Below are 14124 nucleotides of genomic sequence, written 5' to 3'. Positions count from 1 at the left end.
AAATTGTTGACAACAAGCTTAAATTTATTAAACAACTATTTGAAATGAGCAAAGCATGTCTGAGAGCCATGTTGTAATCTCTGACCAAATGTTCCAGGTGACAAGACGGATGTTGAACCCTCAACAGGCATTCATGGAAGAATCTACACTAGACGCCAGCTATCAAAAGGCAACATTTCTTCACTCACTCACTCACAGCCCCATAAAACCAGGAAGCAATTCTTGACCTGTGGCCAAATTTTCCCCTAAGGCATCCATCAAGCATTTATTGAGTACCCACTCAGTGCCAGGCATTCAGATATAAAATGGATCAGGGCTTGTTCCCTCTGAGGCTTTATAGTTGGTCAGTTCAAGATATGTTGTTGAGCCACTATTGTGCACCTGAGAACAGCTCATCAAGACAAAAGGAGACACACCTAGTCAGCTAGGCATTGCTTCCTCACCCACCAGATCTCTGACCTAGAGTGCTGGTAGCAAATTGTCCTACAACTGTGTCCTCTCAGTTCAATTCTCCCATTCCCAGCCATCCCAGTAGCACCTAGGAGCAAAGTGGCCTCCCAAATCAGGCAGTAGCAGAGGTCTCCCAATCTGATGAACATAGGATGACCAGCCATAATCTCTATAAGCCTAACTCTTGTCTATAATATGGTGATCATATGATGGCAACAAATATCACTCAGGTAACAGCAGCCCCCCACACCATTTGCTATCAAAAGGACTGGGGTGTGTTGGATTCATTCAGTCACATGCGCCTGAGGCCAGCCAGTCTGAAATTATTGAAACAGAATCGCACAGCACACAGTAGTCTCATGTTGATCTAACTTATACTTCAGACTTGCTGAAGGACTAATTTCTATCACAGCCCTGCCAATATTGATTGTTTGGACTCAAAATTACATAAGTAGAATGATTTTTATTTTTTTCTCCTAAACTAGAAAGGATCACAGTAGTGCTAGTATATTCCTGTTTCCACTGGCTGGTTATACATGCTGGAAAAAATTAGTCAAAAGAAAGCAACTGAAGACAGAATATAGGTCTTGAATCGCATTCTTAAGTCCCCTACGAATAAGTCTGGGTGCTTGCAGTAGTGCCTAAACTTGTTTATTGTAAACAGAGCTGTTAATCCTCCACCCTCACCGGACCCATTATTTTAAAAAAATAAACAACAACAACAACAAAAAAAACACTTTGGTAGCCTACATTTAGGTAAAAGAAACGAAACCAGTGGAGAGGTGGAAGTGTCCTTTTGTGGTGGAGGTTAGTAGGCATTACTGGTCTCCTGTCACTTCCCTAAGTCAACAGGAAGGAAATATATCCACTAGGGCCTCTGCTAATTTGTTTCTAATTTAAGGACAATTAGAATTAGGATGTAGGAATTAGGCAATTCCTACATCCCCTAACCCCCCACCCCCCCAAAAAAAAGCAGTCAGAGCTGCACGCTTCTCTCACTATCCAACGAACTGGTACCTCTCTGGAAATAACGGAGGTTATGAACTTTGTACTAACTTCCAGGGGTATCTAATAAACAGAGCGGTGGTCTTGGGACCCAGTCAGTGAATAAGTCTTCGTTCTGTTTTATACTGTTTCTTTTCTGCGATTTTCTTTTCTACCCCAAAGTTTCCCACTACTAACTCTGAAAACACCTCTAGGATGACGCACTCTTCGAGCTGTCCTGGTGAAGAATCCTTTCTTGTGACCTTTAGGGCAAGAAATATGTTCCAGGAAAGAAAAGAAACGACTGTTCCTCCTTCTCCAGGTACTCTGGGAAAAAACAGGTCAAAGGGAAAAGGCGCAAACACCAAACTCTCCTTCCCTTTCTCATTTCCACACTGGCAAGTTGTGTTTGCCTTCTAACTTGTCTCGGAAGGCAAGCAGAGCTCACAGCACCAGCCCCAGGCGGCGGGTGGATTATTTACAGGGGGATTTAAACCCGCTCCGGCGCGGGGGCGTGGCCGGGCGGAGTCCCGAGGCCCGAGTGGGCGGGGCGGGGGCGGGGCTCCCGGCCGCTCGGCGCAATGTGAAAAAGACCCGAGCTCGGGGAGTGAGCGCCTGTCTCTTTAAATGCCACGGGCTGCGCTCCCGCCCGGGAGCCCGGAGCCGGATCTACAATCCCGTCCCTCCAGCTCCGGTGCTTGTTGCTCGCCCGGCCCAAGCGGGAGCTGTTGCCGCCAGGCTGCGAGGCTGCCGTCCTCTCCTCCTCGCGCCCCACCTCCCCCGAGAGCTGGCTGAGGAGGGGCAGCAGCCCCAGCTGGCGGGAGGAAGCGCGGTGTGAACAGGGATTGCCCCCCGCCTTCAAGTATCGGGGCGCTACGCAGCCGCGGGGGAAAGACATGCCCCTAGTCTGCCCGCTGCGCTGCCCTCTGCCCAGCCTCGCTGCCGCCCGCGCCGGGAGAGGAGGGACTGCCGAGCCTACACCTTCAAACTCGCCCTAGAAGTCTCGGGGCGCGGCAGGGAGCCCTTCCCCAGGCCCCACGGCCTTCACCTCTCCGCGGGTGAGTTTGTGCAGGTAACCCGAGCCTGAGGGCGGGCGCGGGGGAAGGGCGGGCGAGCCGGGAGGAGGTAGCGCTGCAGGTGAGCCAGGTAGGGTGACTCACCTGTCCAGGTCGCGCTCTGAGATCCTCGCTTGTTCCTCTGGGGATGGATGCGTTGGTGGGGAGGAGGCGTCCCCGGGGCTAGTTAGGGCCCGAGGGTGGGAGGGGAAGTTAGCAGAGGAGGGGGGGGATTGGCGTAAAGTTTCTCTTTCCTTCCCTCTTCCTGCCCAAGCTTGGCAGGTAGGGCGCAGGCGGAAGCAGTAGAAGCTGCTGATGCAATGGGCTTTTGCCAGGGCCAGGCGAAGGGCTGGGGACAGGGAGAACAGGAGTTGCCCAGTCTCCTGTGACCGTGACCTTACAGGTGGAGAAACGAGGGAAAGCTCGCTACACCCGAGACTTCCCCCTAAAATGGCTCCAGGTGCTGAGCCCCCACCGATTCTTTTTCGGAACAAAACGCCCTTTTCACGGAGGGGCTCCTGCATGGCTTTCTTGCCTTCCTCTCCCAACAGGTAGCCTCAGCCCCTGTCCGGGGACCTGTGCAAATGACCCTGGAGTTGGTTTCGCTTTCTCCCCTTGCGGCGGTGTGAACGTGTGTCCGCAGCGTGATGGGCAACCAGGTGGAGAAATTGACCCACCTAAGTTACAAGGAAGTTCCCACGGCCGACCCGACTGGCGTGGACCGGGACGACGGGCCCCGCATTGGGGTCTCCTACATTTTCTCCAATGACGATGAGGACGTGGAGCCGCAGCCGCCGCCTCAGGGGCCAGATGGCGGCGGCTTGCCCGACGGTGGGGACGGGCCGCCGCCGCCCCAGCCGCAGCCCTACGATCCGCGGCTGCACGAGGTGGAATGCTCCGTGTTCTACCGGGACGAATGCATCTACCAGAAGAGCTTCGCGCCGGGCTCGGCGGCGCTGAGTACCTACACGCCCGAGAACCTGCTCAACAAGTGCAAGCCGGGCGATCTGGTGGAGTTCGTGTCGCAGGCTCAGTACCCGCACTGGGCCGTATATGTGGGTAACTTCCAGGTGGTGCACCTGCACCGGCTGGAGGTGATTAACAGCTTCCTGACTGACGCCAGCCAGGGCCGTCGCGGCCGCGTGGTCAACGATCTGTACCGCTACAAGCCGCTAAGCTCCAGCGCCGTGGTGCGCAACGCGCTGGCGCACGTGGGTGCCAAGGAGCGCGAGCTGAGCTGGCGCAACTCGGAGAGTTTCGCCGCCTGGTGCCGCTACGGCAAGCGCGAGTTCAAGATCGGCGGCGAGCTGCGCATCGGCAAGCAGCCCTACCGGCTGCAGATTCAGCTGTCGGCGCAGCGCAGCCACACGCTCGAGTTCCAGAGTCTAGAGGACCTGATCATGGAGAAGCGACGCAACGACCAGATCGGGCGCGCGGCCGTGCTGCAGGAGCTCGCCACGCACCTGCACCCGGCGGAGCCGGAGGAGGGCGACAGCAACGTGGCGCGGACTACGCCGCCTCCCGGGCGCCCCCCTGCGCCCAGCTCCGAGGAGGAGGACGGAGAGGCAGTGGCACACTGATGGGCGAGCTGAGCGCAGAGCTGCGAAGGGGAACTGTTTGCAGTAGCAGCCGCTGCTCCCTTTCTCCCTCTCTTCCTCCCTCTTTTGCCACTGTCTGGGCCCCATCTGGGATTCCTGGGCCCTTTGGAAAAGAGTTGGTGAAATGCGCAGCCGGCTGTGGACGGGGGAGGAGGAAGGGGACAGAGGGAGCAGGTAGGAAACACTTTAGTTGGGGGTGGGGGGCGTCTCCCTCTGGCCCCCTGTCTGTCTTCCTCTCCGCGGTGGAGCAAACTGTGGACTTGCCTGGCACTTAAACCTTGGTAGATCTGGGTTTATAATCGGCCATTCTTAAGCACGTGGGGTTGGGGGAAAGTTCGGAGTACCCATTCCTGCCGTTGCTTCCTATCCTGGGCTTGGAAGAATCCTGGTAGAAAGGCCAGAGTGGGTTTGTGGAGTCGCCACTGCGGGACCAGCACGAAAGCTGCTTGTCTGCTTTGGCGGAGCTGAGCTGTGTATGGGATCCAGGAGGCTGGGGTGATTTATTTTATGGGATTCCTGGAGCGCAGGGCTGGTGAATCCATGACAAGGTCCGGGAGCAGCAGACCAAAACCACAGCAGCCTCCTATTAAGTGTAACAAATAGTTAAGCAAACTCGGGCTACAAACAAAGACTTTGCTACCTCCCTCCTCCACAACCCCCAAGTAATTAGCCTTCTGGAGCTGGCTCTTAGCTGAGGCTCCTGCTACCTCCTGCTCCACCCGCCCCTTCCTAGGTTACAAGTAAATCATTGTCAAGGGCCAGCCAGGGGAAGGTTTCAATTAAGGTTCTGTTCTGCTGCCTTTGTTTCTCCCCTGCTGTTGTAGGCACTTACAGCTGCGTTGTTATGAAAGGAGGGAATAGCCCTTTGTGTCTTTGATCTAATTAAACCTGCTTGGCTGTGTTTATCCGCAGGGCAGGTCACAGATAGGGTTGGCTGTGCCACTCCATAAAGTATCTATTGTGGAAGCAGCCAAAAAGGGCTGCTGTGGCAGGAATTGGTTAATTTCTCCTTCCACTTCCCTTCCTGAATAGTGAAGGGAGCCCTTTTAAAACAAGGCTTTGGTGGTAATCCTGTGATTTTTTTTTCTCCCCCATCCCCTCACTGGCCCATCCCTCTCACCCTCACTTTTGTTCTGCTGGTGGGTAAAATCTTAGGCTGAACACATATTTCAATGGTAAGATACTTATTTTGCTATCCACACTTGATGCAATTGAATTCAAGGTGCAAAGTCTTGTACTGAAGCAGTCTCCTTGTTGCTTGGAGAACACCTCCTTCAGAGCCCTTTGTTAAATAAGAGGGGCGACGTTGATCATAGATGCCACCTGGTTAGCACCGAATCTGACTTTGGTGACAGTCCTAAAGCACAGTTGGTGATTGTGAGATCTGTTAGCGGCAGGCTGAGCAGATACTACTTGGTTTTGCTTGGTATGAGATACTACTGTTTGCTTAGTATGAGATTTTTTCCAGCCTGTCTCTTAAACTCCTGTGACATCTTCAATGATATGTGCCCTCAGTTGCAGCATAGCTTCTCTGCTGCCTATTGCCATTGCTGTCTCAAAAGTTGAGTGAATTTTGAGGCGTCTTTTTTTTTTTTTCCTCTCTTGGGAGTCGTTGTAAACTACTGTGTACAAGTCATTTTGTGATATGATTCTGAACAGTTGGAATAGAATCATAGTTAAGTGGTACAGCCATGGCTATCGTCAGGCCTGTTGCCTGGAGATCTCTAAGTTAAGGCAACAAGACTTAAAGAATTTTCTAATACACTTGTTTCACACATGGACGTTGAGGCCATAGTCTTTAAAAGCTTGGACCTTTGTAGCACCTCAACATGAAAGGGCATTAGCTATGTTTCCTGTTTTTACAGTGATCACCAAACAGATCTTGCCACTTTGATTGTTAAAAATGAACCACATTCTAGCCCTGGTCTGGGACTTTGGAGGGAGATGAATTTCTTGTTGGAAATGTAAATCTAGTGTCCATATTTAATACTCTCACAGCTTTGTGTTTATTCTCTTTGCTCATGGAATAGCAGAACAAGATAAACATGGGTTAAGACATTTAGGAGAACCTGCTGTATCTAACCCAGTTGGATTTTCTTTCATGCTTAACACAGTAGTGAAAATAGAAGGTAGGCCGGGCACAGTGGCTCATGCCTGTAATCCCAGCACTTTGGGAGGCTGAGGCAGGTAGATCACCTGAAGTTAGGAGTTCGAGACCAGCCTGGCCAACATGGCGAAACCCTGTCTCTACCACAAATACAGAAAATTAGCTGGGCGTGGTGGCAGGCGCCTGTAATGCCTGCTACTTGGGAGCCTGAGGCAGAAGAATTGCTTGAAGCTGGGAAGCAGAGGTTGCAGTGAGCCGAGATCGCACCACTGCACTCCAGCCTGGGCAGCAGAGCAAGTAGTAATAACCACCGTGTAGACAAGTGGGAGGGAAGAATAGAATGGCACTGTCCAGCTCTGGGCTAGCCAGATCAACTCCCCCACCCGTCTTCTTCCTCTGTCCCAGAATGGAAAATGATGTATGGTCAGTCACGCTGAAGTATAGCAGCGACTGTGTTAAGAGAGAGCAGTGACTCTCTCTTCTAGAGAAGAGGTTTTCAATAACAGGGCTTGGAAATGAACTAGAATAGGAAATAGATCTTTTCAGATGCTGCTTTCCCATGTAATACAAGCGTTTCTACAGGGTACCAGAGGTGTGAAATATGTGACACTTAAGAACAGTGATTTTTATTGGGAATTTTCTTAGGGTTATTACACTTAAAGCAACAACCAACTAGTAACAGCTCCAGGAAAGGGGAATGAATCAACTCTTGGTTCTTTCCTGAAGACGGCAGTGTTGTGGATAAGTGAGTTTTTAATGCCCTGGCAGTGGCTACATTTGACACTTTAGAAAAAATAAACATATTTAATAATTTTTGTTTCTCCTTAGGAATAAGACTGTAGAACTGTTTTGTACTGTGAATTACGGATGCTCTTTGAAGGAAAGAAATATCGATTCTAATGTTCTTCAGAAGTTCTGGCAGGGATAAGCAGGACATCGACTGGAACGTATGCTAAATGAAAGCAGACAAATTTCTATTTTCTTACCTGAGCAAATATTTTATTGAAACTGCTTATGTATGTCAAAGGAGCCCACAACTTCAGCTACACAACTTTTTGTATTGAAAGAACTCATACTTTTTGTAGCTTTTATTTCACATTTAATTTAAAGTGACTTTTAGCACTAAAATGCCTAGAAGATTTTACTCCAGACCTATAAGGAAATGTTTAGTTTTTATGAAAAATGACAAGTCGATGGTTAAACTTCTCATGTCTTTGGTGCTTTGGCCCTAATAGCACTGGACAACACCACGACCACATGGAAACATATTTTTGGAAGCAAAACTTTAATTTTATATAACGTATGCTATGGAGAGCTAAGACAATTTAAGGACTACTTGTTTTCTATTTTTTTTCTTAATAAAATGGAATCCACTGTGTTGAAGACTCTTGATATCATGTGCTTGTCTAACCATTTTTTGTTTTATAAATTAGAATAAAATATAGTTGTGATAATGGTCATCGAATGGATTTGTTTGGAAAGCTACATCTTATTTGTGAAATGTTTTTTAAATCAGAGTAACTATCAACTGATTCAGCTTTTTGTTGTTTTGTTCTTGGCTATAATACTTGTGACTCATGAAGAATTATGTTGACAAACAGGATAAATTCCACATGCATTTTATTTCCCAGTGAGTTGTATAAACTTTATTTTTGTTGAAGGTTGTATGTTAAATCAATGTTACATTCTTATATCACTTCTTGAGAAGGAAGTTCCGATTTGAAATTGTATCATTTCCTTCAAAATGAAGGGCAGTGCTTAGTTAAATAAAAGATTGATGATATCTTTTAAGCCATTTCCTCTTCACTATGTCTTATTAAAATAAAACCTGTCAAGTTCTTTTCAAAAGATGCTATGAGCGTTTCCAATAAACCATCTATTAGAGTTCACTGGATTTTTTTCCACTTGAATACCTTTTTTCTGACATTTTTGGTCCAAATTCAAGCTACTCAGTTTCCTATAATTTCTCTGAGAATATTAGCGTGCATCACCTTTGTATTGCACAGTAAACATTTTGTTGAATTCATTTAGTGACTGAAAACCCTGCATCTACTTTGTGAAAATCAGTTATTGCTGAACTATCAGTGTTCATGAAAAATGACTTATGAACATAAATTTTCAATACATAGTGATTTTTCAGAATCCATGCAAAAATTGTTGGAAACCACACTCATTATGGAGTCTACACTGGGCAGTCTGTTTAGTAGCCCACCGGGAATCTGTGTTGCATCTTAAGTGGCTTCAGAGTTCCAGATGAAGGGAACGTATTTGCCACATAATTACAGAAAATGGGTGAACATAGTGGCACGGCACTGTTGGCATAAGGGATGCAGGTGCCAGTGGTTGGTAAGAGAACAGATGTGGCATCAGACTGGTGTGTGGGATGCCACTGGGTGCACTTCCTAGGCCAGCGCCTGAAGCCACCACCACAATCCTGTGGGGTTCAAATGCCTGGGCTTTTAAACAGGCTCCATGGCCGGGCGCGGTGGCTCACGCCTGTAATCCCAGCACTTTGGGAGGCTGAGACGGGCAGATCACGAGGTCAGGAGATCGAGACCATCCTGGCTAACATGGTGAAAACCCGTCTCTACTAAAAATACAAAAAATTAGCCGGGCCTGGTGGCGGGTACCTGTAGTCCCAGCTCCTCAGGAGGCTGAGTCAGGAGAATGGCGTGAACCCAGGAGGCGGAGCTTGCAGTGAGCCGAGATCGCGCCACTGCACTCCAGCCTGGGCGACAGAGCGAGACTCCGTCTCAAAAAAAACAACAAAAAAAACAGTCTCCTGTGATAATTTTTAATAGGAAGAAAGTTGAATGAAGGTTATAGGGAGCCCAAGCAGCAATGAGGCCATTTATCCCTAAAGCAGAAGTCTAATGTATCATGGCTCTCAGCTCTCATTGATGAGAAAGCAGGGGAAGGGGTACTTAGTACACAATGTGCATTTATTCTTGGGTGATTTTGACGGAGGCTGTGGTTCCTATTTCTCCTATGTGGACTGAGCTCGCTTAATGTAGGAAAATGACATGTTTGCGACTTCCGAAATGAACAGGCCCAGGATATGTGCAGAAAAGCGTTATTTCCTTTTACTGAGTTTTCTGGGGAAACTACTCATTAAACAAATAGCAATTTTATCTGCAGAGTAGATGCAAGAATGGCTAGTGTCTGCATTTGCAATTGCAGTAAGGTACTGTCTATGAAGGGCTAGAAGATGCTGAGCCCTAGCCTGGGAACTAGAAATAAAGAGGTCGAAAAACAAGAACCTTGAGAAATAGTCCTGCCCTTGAGCCTATTTCTAAGGGGAAATCAATTTCACTCGTACATACAGGACAGATTATAATAAAAGGTGGACCTGTAAAGTATGGATGGTTGGTAGATACTCAAAACAGATATGAGAAAGTTTAGAGTTTGAAAACGTATTGGGCATGTGGAGAAATCGGGTAGACCAAATGCATGAAGATACAAATGATGGAGAAAAGGAAGTAACGAATATAACTAATATTCACTAAACAATTAACCTGGAGGCTCTTCAATTCCTTGTGCCTAACATCCAAAGATAAAGCCAATCCTCGCCAGATGTAGTGACTCACACTTGTAATCCCAGTACTTTGGGAGGCCTTGGCAAAGAGATTGCTTGAGCCCAGGAGTTTCAGACCAGCCTGGGCAACATGGTGAGACCCCTGTCTCTACAAAAAATAAACAAAATTAGCCAGGTGTGGTGGCACATGCCTGTGATCCCAGCACTCAGGAGGCTGAGGTGGGAGCATCGCTTGAGCCCAGGAGGTTGAGGCTGCAATGAGCCAAGATCATGCCAATGGCACTCCAGCCTGGGCAGGTGATAGAGTGAGATCCTGACTCAAAAAATAAAAATAGAAAAATAAAGATAAACCAAGTCCATAGTTACTATCATCATGTAACTTTCATTCTAATTAAGTGAGACAGATAACTACTTATCAAAATTGTGATAGGTGAAATGAAGGAAATGTACAGGGTGTATAGGAGAATCTCTCCCCATCAATGAGTCAAAAAAATCTTCCCTGAAGAAGTATTTTTGCTGCACCCCAGAAGTGGAGGAGGGAGCCAGGGGCTTCAGAATGGGTACTGATTACATTAAGGGAGGAAGGCTGGAGAGTGAATGAATGGACCTCAAGTGCCCTCAAAATGCCTTTGCTTCATGCTCCTGGTACACACCCATTTCTCCTTGGGGCTCTCTTCTACAACAAGTTGTCCAACTCGTTCATGTATCTCCAACACTTACACAGTACCAGGCAAAGAAACCCCCACTGAAAATAGTTTGAGTAAATGAATTTTGAGTTTGGACTTTGCCAGACTAAAAAGCCCCTAGATTATCTCAAGATGATGTTGCGACTGGTTTGAAAAGAATGAACGTGATAGTGTTTTTTAGGGTGCATTGAACAGGGAGAGCAAGTAAGTGACTCCATCTTCCCTTCCTCTTAGAAGACAACCTCTAGAACAGAAGGCAACTAGAGGTTGTTCTGGGTGGAAGGGTGCTAAGGATGACTTATATTGCCAGCCAGGTTATGGAATGGATTGTGAAGTCGGGCCTTTGCCTGGGTGCAAATCAACGGACAAGTGGCATTGGCCAGGCTGGATGGAAGAGCAGTAGTAAAATGGAGCAGGAGGGTTTATAACCTGGCTGCCACAGCCTTGGAATTGTGATTGGGGAACAGGTTATTTTGTTCAGTTGGCAAGCCATTGGCATAATATAGTACCTAGTGTCTTGTCCAGTGTGACCATAAATGACTCAAAAGATGCACACTCTGATACTTTCTTTGGAAAACTTATATAATGTAGTTAACTCCAAGAATCTAGTTGTCTTGATAGTCAGTGCATTCTTTTTAAACTCATTACTTTGGAGAATTCTCAGTGACAAAGCTAACCTGCAGGTAGAGGGTCTGACCTGGGCACACCATATTGAATAGTGGTTAAGGCTTTACAGTCAAACGACCTGGTTTTCTCTCCTCCAGCCTTCGCTTATTATTAGGCCAGTAACCTTGGCAGAAGTTACTTTCTTGGAACCCACTTCCTCTTATAACGAGTTAATGGCATCCACCAATTCACTCTCTGAACTTCGGTTGCATTAGTAAAGTAATACAACTAGTATATAATATGTAATAATATAACTGAACTAAATCTACCTTAAAATGGTGCTTGTGAGGACAAAATGGAATACTGCATGTAAATCTCAGATCAATAACTAGTATGGGCCGGGCGTGGTGGCTCACACCTGTAATCCCAGCACTTTGGGAGGCCAAGGCAGGCAGATCACCTGAGGTCAGGAATTTGAGACCAGCCTGGCCAACATGGTGAAACCTCATCTCCACTAAAAATACAAAAATTAGCCAGGCATAGTGGTGTGTGCCTGTAATCCCAGCTACTTTGAGGCTGAGACAGGAGAATCACTTGAACCTGGGAGGCAGAGGTTGCAGTGAGCCGAGATCACGCCACTGTACTCCAGCTTGGGCGACAGAGTGAGACTCCCTCTTAAAAAAAGAAAAGAAAAAAAAACTAGTATGATTGACTAGGGAAATCTGGGGTATTGTTTGTGTTCAAAAGCCTTAGTCAAAATGAAGTTATCGTGTGGGAGAGCGAGGTCTTCCCTTTGGTCTTGGAGAATTTCTTAGCTATGCATGAGAACTTGGTAAGATAAGAAAGAGATAACTAGTAAATACTTCAATTATTTAGCAGATGCCGTAATGTTTGAAATATTTCTTGGCCAGGTGAGGTGGCTCGTGCCTGTAATCCCAGCACTTTAGGAGGCCAAATTGGGAGGCTCTCTTGAGTCTAGTAGTTTGAAACCAGCCTGGGCAATACAGTGAGACTCCATCTCATTAAAACAATAATAATAAGGCCAGGCACAGTGGCTCACGCCTGTAATCTCAACACTTTGGGAGGCTAAGGCAGGCAGGTAATCTGAGGTCAGGAGTTTGAGACCAGTCTGGCCAACATGATGAAATATAAAAATTAGCCAGGTGTGGTGGCACACGCCTGTAGTCCCAGCTACTCAGGAGGCTGAGGCTGAAGAATCGCTTGAACTTGGGAGGTGGAGTTTGCGGTGAATTGAGATGGCGCAACTGCACTCCAGCCTGGGCGACAGAGTGAGACTCCATCTCAAAAACAAACAAACAAAACACCAAAACAATAAAAAAATTTTTTTAAGAAATCATTTTTTGACCATCGCTCTTTAGTAGATTAACCATTTACTCTGTTTACACATATTATTAAATATGTATACTAATTAATTCAACACATATTTACTGAGCACTTTGTTTGTTTAGGACTAGTTATCTTGCCCAGCTGGATTTGAACTTCTGGTCTCAAGCAGTCCTTCCGCCTCAGCCTCCCAAGTAGCTGGGACTACCCAGCATGCACCCGTTACTGAGCATTTTTAAGACACTGGGCTCTGGGTAGTCAGGGAGGGACAAAAAGGGATTTTACAGTAATAACATAAACAATGACGATGTCACCTTGTCCACTCTGTCCTACTTTAATCACCACAGAGTTTCTGAACAGATACTAATATTATGTTCATTTTACAGTTGAGGAAAGAAGCTTAGGGAAATTAAGTGATTTGTCCCAAATTACATAACTAATAAATGACAACTTCTGGCCGGGAACAGGAAAGCTGGTCTCCAAAGCCCCAGGCTACTCTTCCTACACTGAAAGATCACCTGATCACCCCTTCCCTGCCCTTCCTGTCACCCCATGGAGAGTACTCGGAACCCTCTTCTGCTCCAACAAGTGGCATGACGCATTATCTGAATAGCATTTATGCTTCCACTTTTATTGAAGCAACCCTGGAGGCAAGAAGAAGCAGGAACAAGAGAGGCAACTCATCCAGAAGGACTTTGCATTCTTATGGGTAACAGTAACAGGCCCCAGGGTAATCACCCCACCCTCCCTGTTGCCAAGCACTGTGACAGTCTCTCCTTCTATTGTTCCTCCTCTGTCTTTGCGTGACTTCTTTAGCGCCCCCCAGTACATATAGACATCAGGCCACATAGCCTGCTTCTCATCATGGCTCCAACCCCTGACCTCCAATGTAACCTTGGGCAAGTTAGTAACTTCTTTCAGCCACCTTGACTAATCTAAAAACCAAGGCTATTAGGAGTGCCTACTCCCTTAAGCTATTCATTGACTTACATGAACAGCTTAGTGCATCACAGGGCACTTAGGTGTGGCATGGTGACCCTATGCGTTGGCTCCACTGCAAATGGCTTGATTTGAGATGTGTGGCCTTGAGCAAGTCCCTTTACCATGCTAGGAACTTGGTTCCGGGTCTGTGTGTGTGGAGCACACAGCACAATCTGTGGCAAGGTTTCAGGTGTAATGTTATCCTTTGAGATGGCTGTAAGATGTTGCTCTTTGTTTTAATGAATACTTGTTCCTTGTCCTTCACCCTAAACCTCATTCATGTGCAAAAACAGGACCCGACATGGTGAGTCACGCCTATAATTCCAGCACTTAACCACCTAAGGTCAGGAGTTTGAGACCAGCCTGGCCAACGTGGTGAAACTGCATCTCTACTAAATAGTGGCAGGAGCCTGTAATCCCAGCTATTCAGGAGGCTGAGGCAGGATAATCTCTTGAACCTGGGAGGCGGAGGTTGCAGTGACCCACTGCACTCCAGCCTGGGTGACAGAACAAGACTCTGTCTCAAAACAAAAACAAAAACAAAAAAAAATGGTTAATAATGATAATAATTGACTGAATTTCAGGAAGTGCTTTTGTTGTGAAAAGTTGGCACTATCCCCAAAATTTTTTTTTGAACTGGCAAATTTTGACATTATGTTTAATATTATAAACCAAACCTAAGCAGTGGCTAGGGAAAAAGCAAATTAATCCATGTCTCGTTTATTTTAGAAAGCATGTTCAGGGGTTTTCATTTGTTTGAAATTTTGCTTCATTCATG

The 14124-nt window shown here is 46.9% G+C and overlaps 1 protein-coding gene and 1 long non-coding RNA gene across 14 annotated transcripts in view, besides 6 other annotated features; one reads left to right on the top strand and one right to left on the bottom strand.

Moving 5' to 3' along the window:
• The window catches only part of LOC105375751 (uncharacterized), a 463156-nt gene extending 460506 nt beyond the window's left edge, over positions 1-2650 (bottom strand). For all 8 annotated transcript variants that reach the window (NR_188069.1, NR_188071.1, NR_188072.1 and 5 more), the window contains exon 1: positions 2595-2650. This is a non-coding gene — a long non-coding RNA (uncharacterized LOC105375751). The remainder of the gene's footprint in view (positions 1-2594) is intronic.
• Positions 1810-2646: an enhancer, noted in NCBI's record as "NANOG-H3K27ac-H3K4me1 hESC enhancer chr8:127570125-127570961 (GRCh37/hg19 assembly coordinates)". NCBI's record gives its function as "activates a minimal SCP1, AML or CMV promoter by ChIP-STARR-seq in primed H9 embryonic stem cells {active_cell/tissue: H9 hESC(primed)}" and the evidence as "EXISTENCE:reporter gene assay evidence [ECO:0000049][PMID:30033119]".
• Positions 1916-2095: a silencer, noted in NCBI's record as "silent region_19522". NCBI's record gives its function as "represses an Ori minimal core promoter by ATAC-STARR-seq in GM12878 lymphoblastoid cells {active_cell/tissue: GM12878}" and the evidence as "EXISTENCE:reporter gene assay evidence [ECO:0000049][PMID:35858748]".
• LRATD2 (LRAT domain containing 2) lies at positions 2048-8083 on the top strand. Of its 6 annotated transcripts, none has more exons than NR_156466.2 (3): positions 2048-2492; positions 3041-4261; positions 7023-8083. NR_156466.2 is itself a non-coding variant. In XM_017013108.3 (3 exons), the coding sequence occupies exons 2-3, from the start codon at positions 3137-3139 to the stop codon at positions 4067-4069; spliced, it is 879 nt and encodes a 292-aa protein (XP_016868597.1). In that variant the 5' UTR covers positions 2048-2492; positions 3041-3136; the 3' UTR covers positions 4070-7985. The 6 variants fall into 6 exon arrangements, 3 of the variants coding, with proteins under 3 accessions (XP_016868597.1, NP_777571.1, XP_016868596.1); XR_007060705.1 differs by having other exon boundaries at positions 2048-2506; XM_017013108.3 differs by having other exon boundaries at positions 3041-3279; positions 3334-7985.
• Positions 3624-3773: an enhancer, noted in NCBI's record as "active region_27929". NCBI's record gives its function as "activates an Ori minimal core promoter by ATAC-STARR-seq in GM12878 lymphoblastoid cells {active_cell/tissue: GM12878}" and the evidence as "EXISTENCE:reporter gene assay evidence [ECO:0000049][PMID:35858748]".
• Positions 3984-4103: a silencer, noted in NCBI's record as "silent region_19521". NCBI's record gives its function as "represses an Ori minimal core promoter by ATAC-STARR-seq in GM12878 lymphoblastoid cells {active_cell/tissue: GM12878}" and the evidence as "EXISTENCE:reporter gene assay evidence [ECO:0000049][PMID:35858748]".
• Positions 8163-8672: an enhancer, noted in NCBI's record as "H3K4me1 hESC enhancer chr8:127564099-127564608 (GRCh37/hg19 assembly coordinates)". NCBI's record gives its function as "activates a minimal SCP1, AML or CMV promoter by ChIP-STARR-seq in primed H9 embryonic stem cells {active_cell/tissue: H9 hESC(primed)}" and the evidence as "EXISTENCE:reporter gene assay evidence [ECO:0000049][PMID:30033119]".
• Positions 12885-13640: an enhancer, noted in NCBI's record as "OCT4-NANOG-H3K27ac hESC enhancer chr8:127559131-127559886 (GRCh37/hg19 assembly coordinates)". NCBI's record gives its function as "activates a minimal SCP1, AML or CMV promoter by ChIP-STARR-seq in naive and primed H9 embryonic stem cells {active_cell/tissue: H9 hESC(naive and primed)}" and the evidence as "EXISTENCE:reporter gene assay evidence [ECO:0000049][PMID:30033119]".

This window comes from Homo sapiens, chromosome 8 (genome assembly GCF_000001405.40).
Source record: "Homo sapiens chromosome 8, GRCh38.p14 Primary Assembly".
In the NCBI taxonomy this organism is placed as follows: Eukaryota; Metazoa; Chordata; class Mammalia; order Primates; family Hominidae; genus Homo; species Homo sapiens.
Note: the sequence above shows the minus strand (reverse complement) of the source record. Positions and strands in the feature narration are given on the sequence as shown.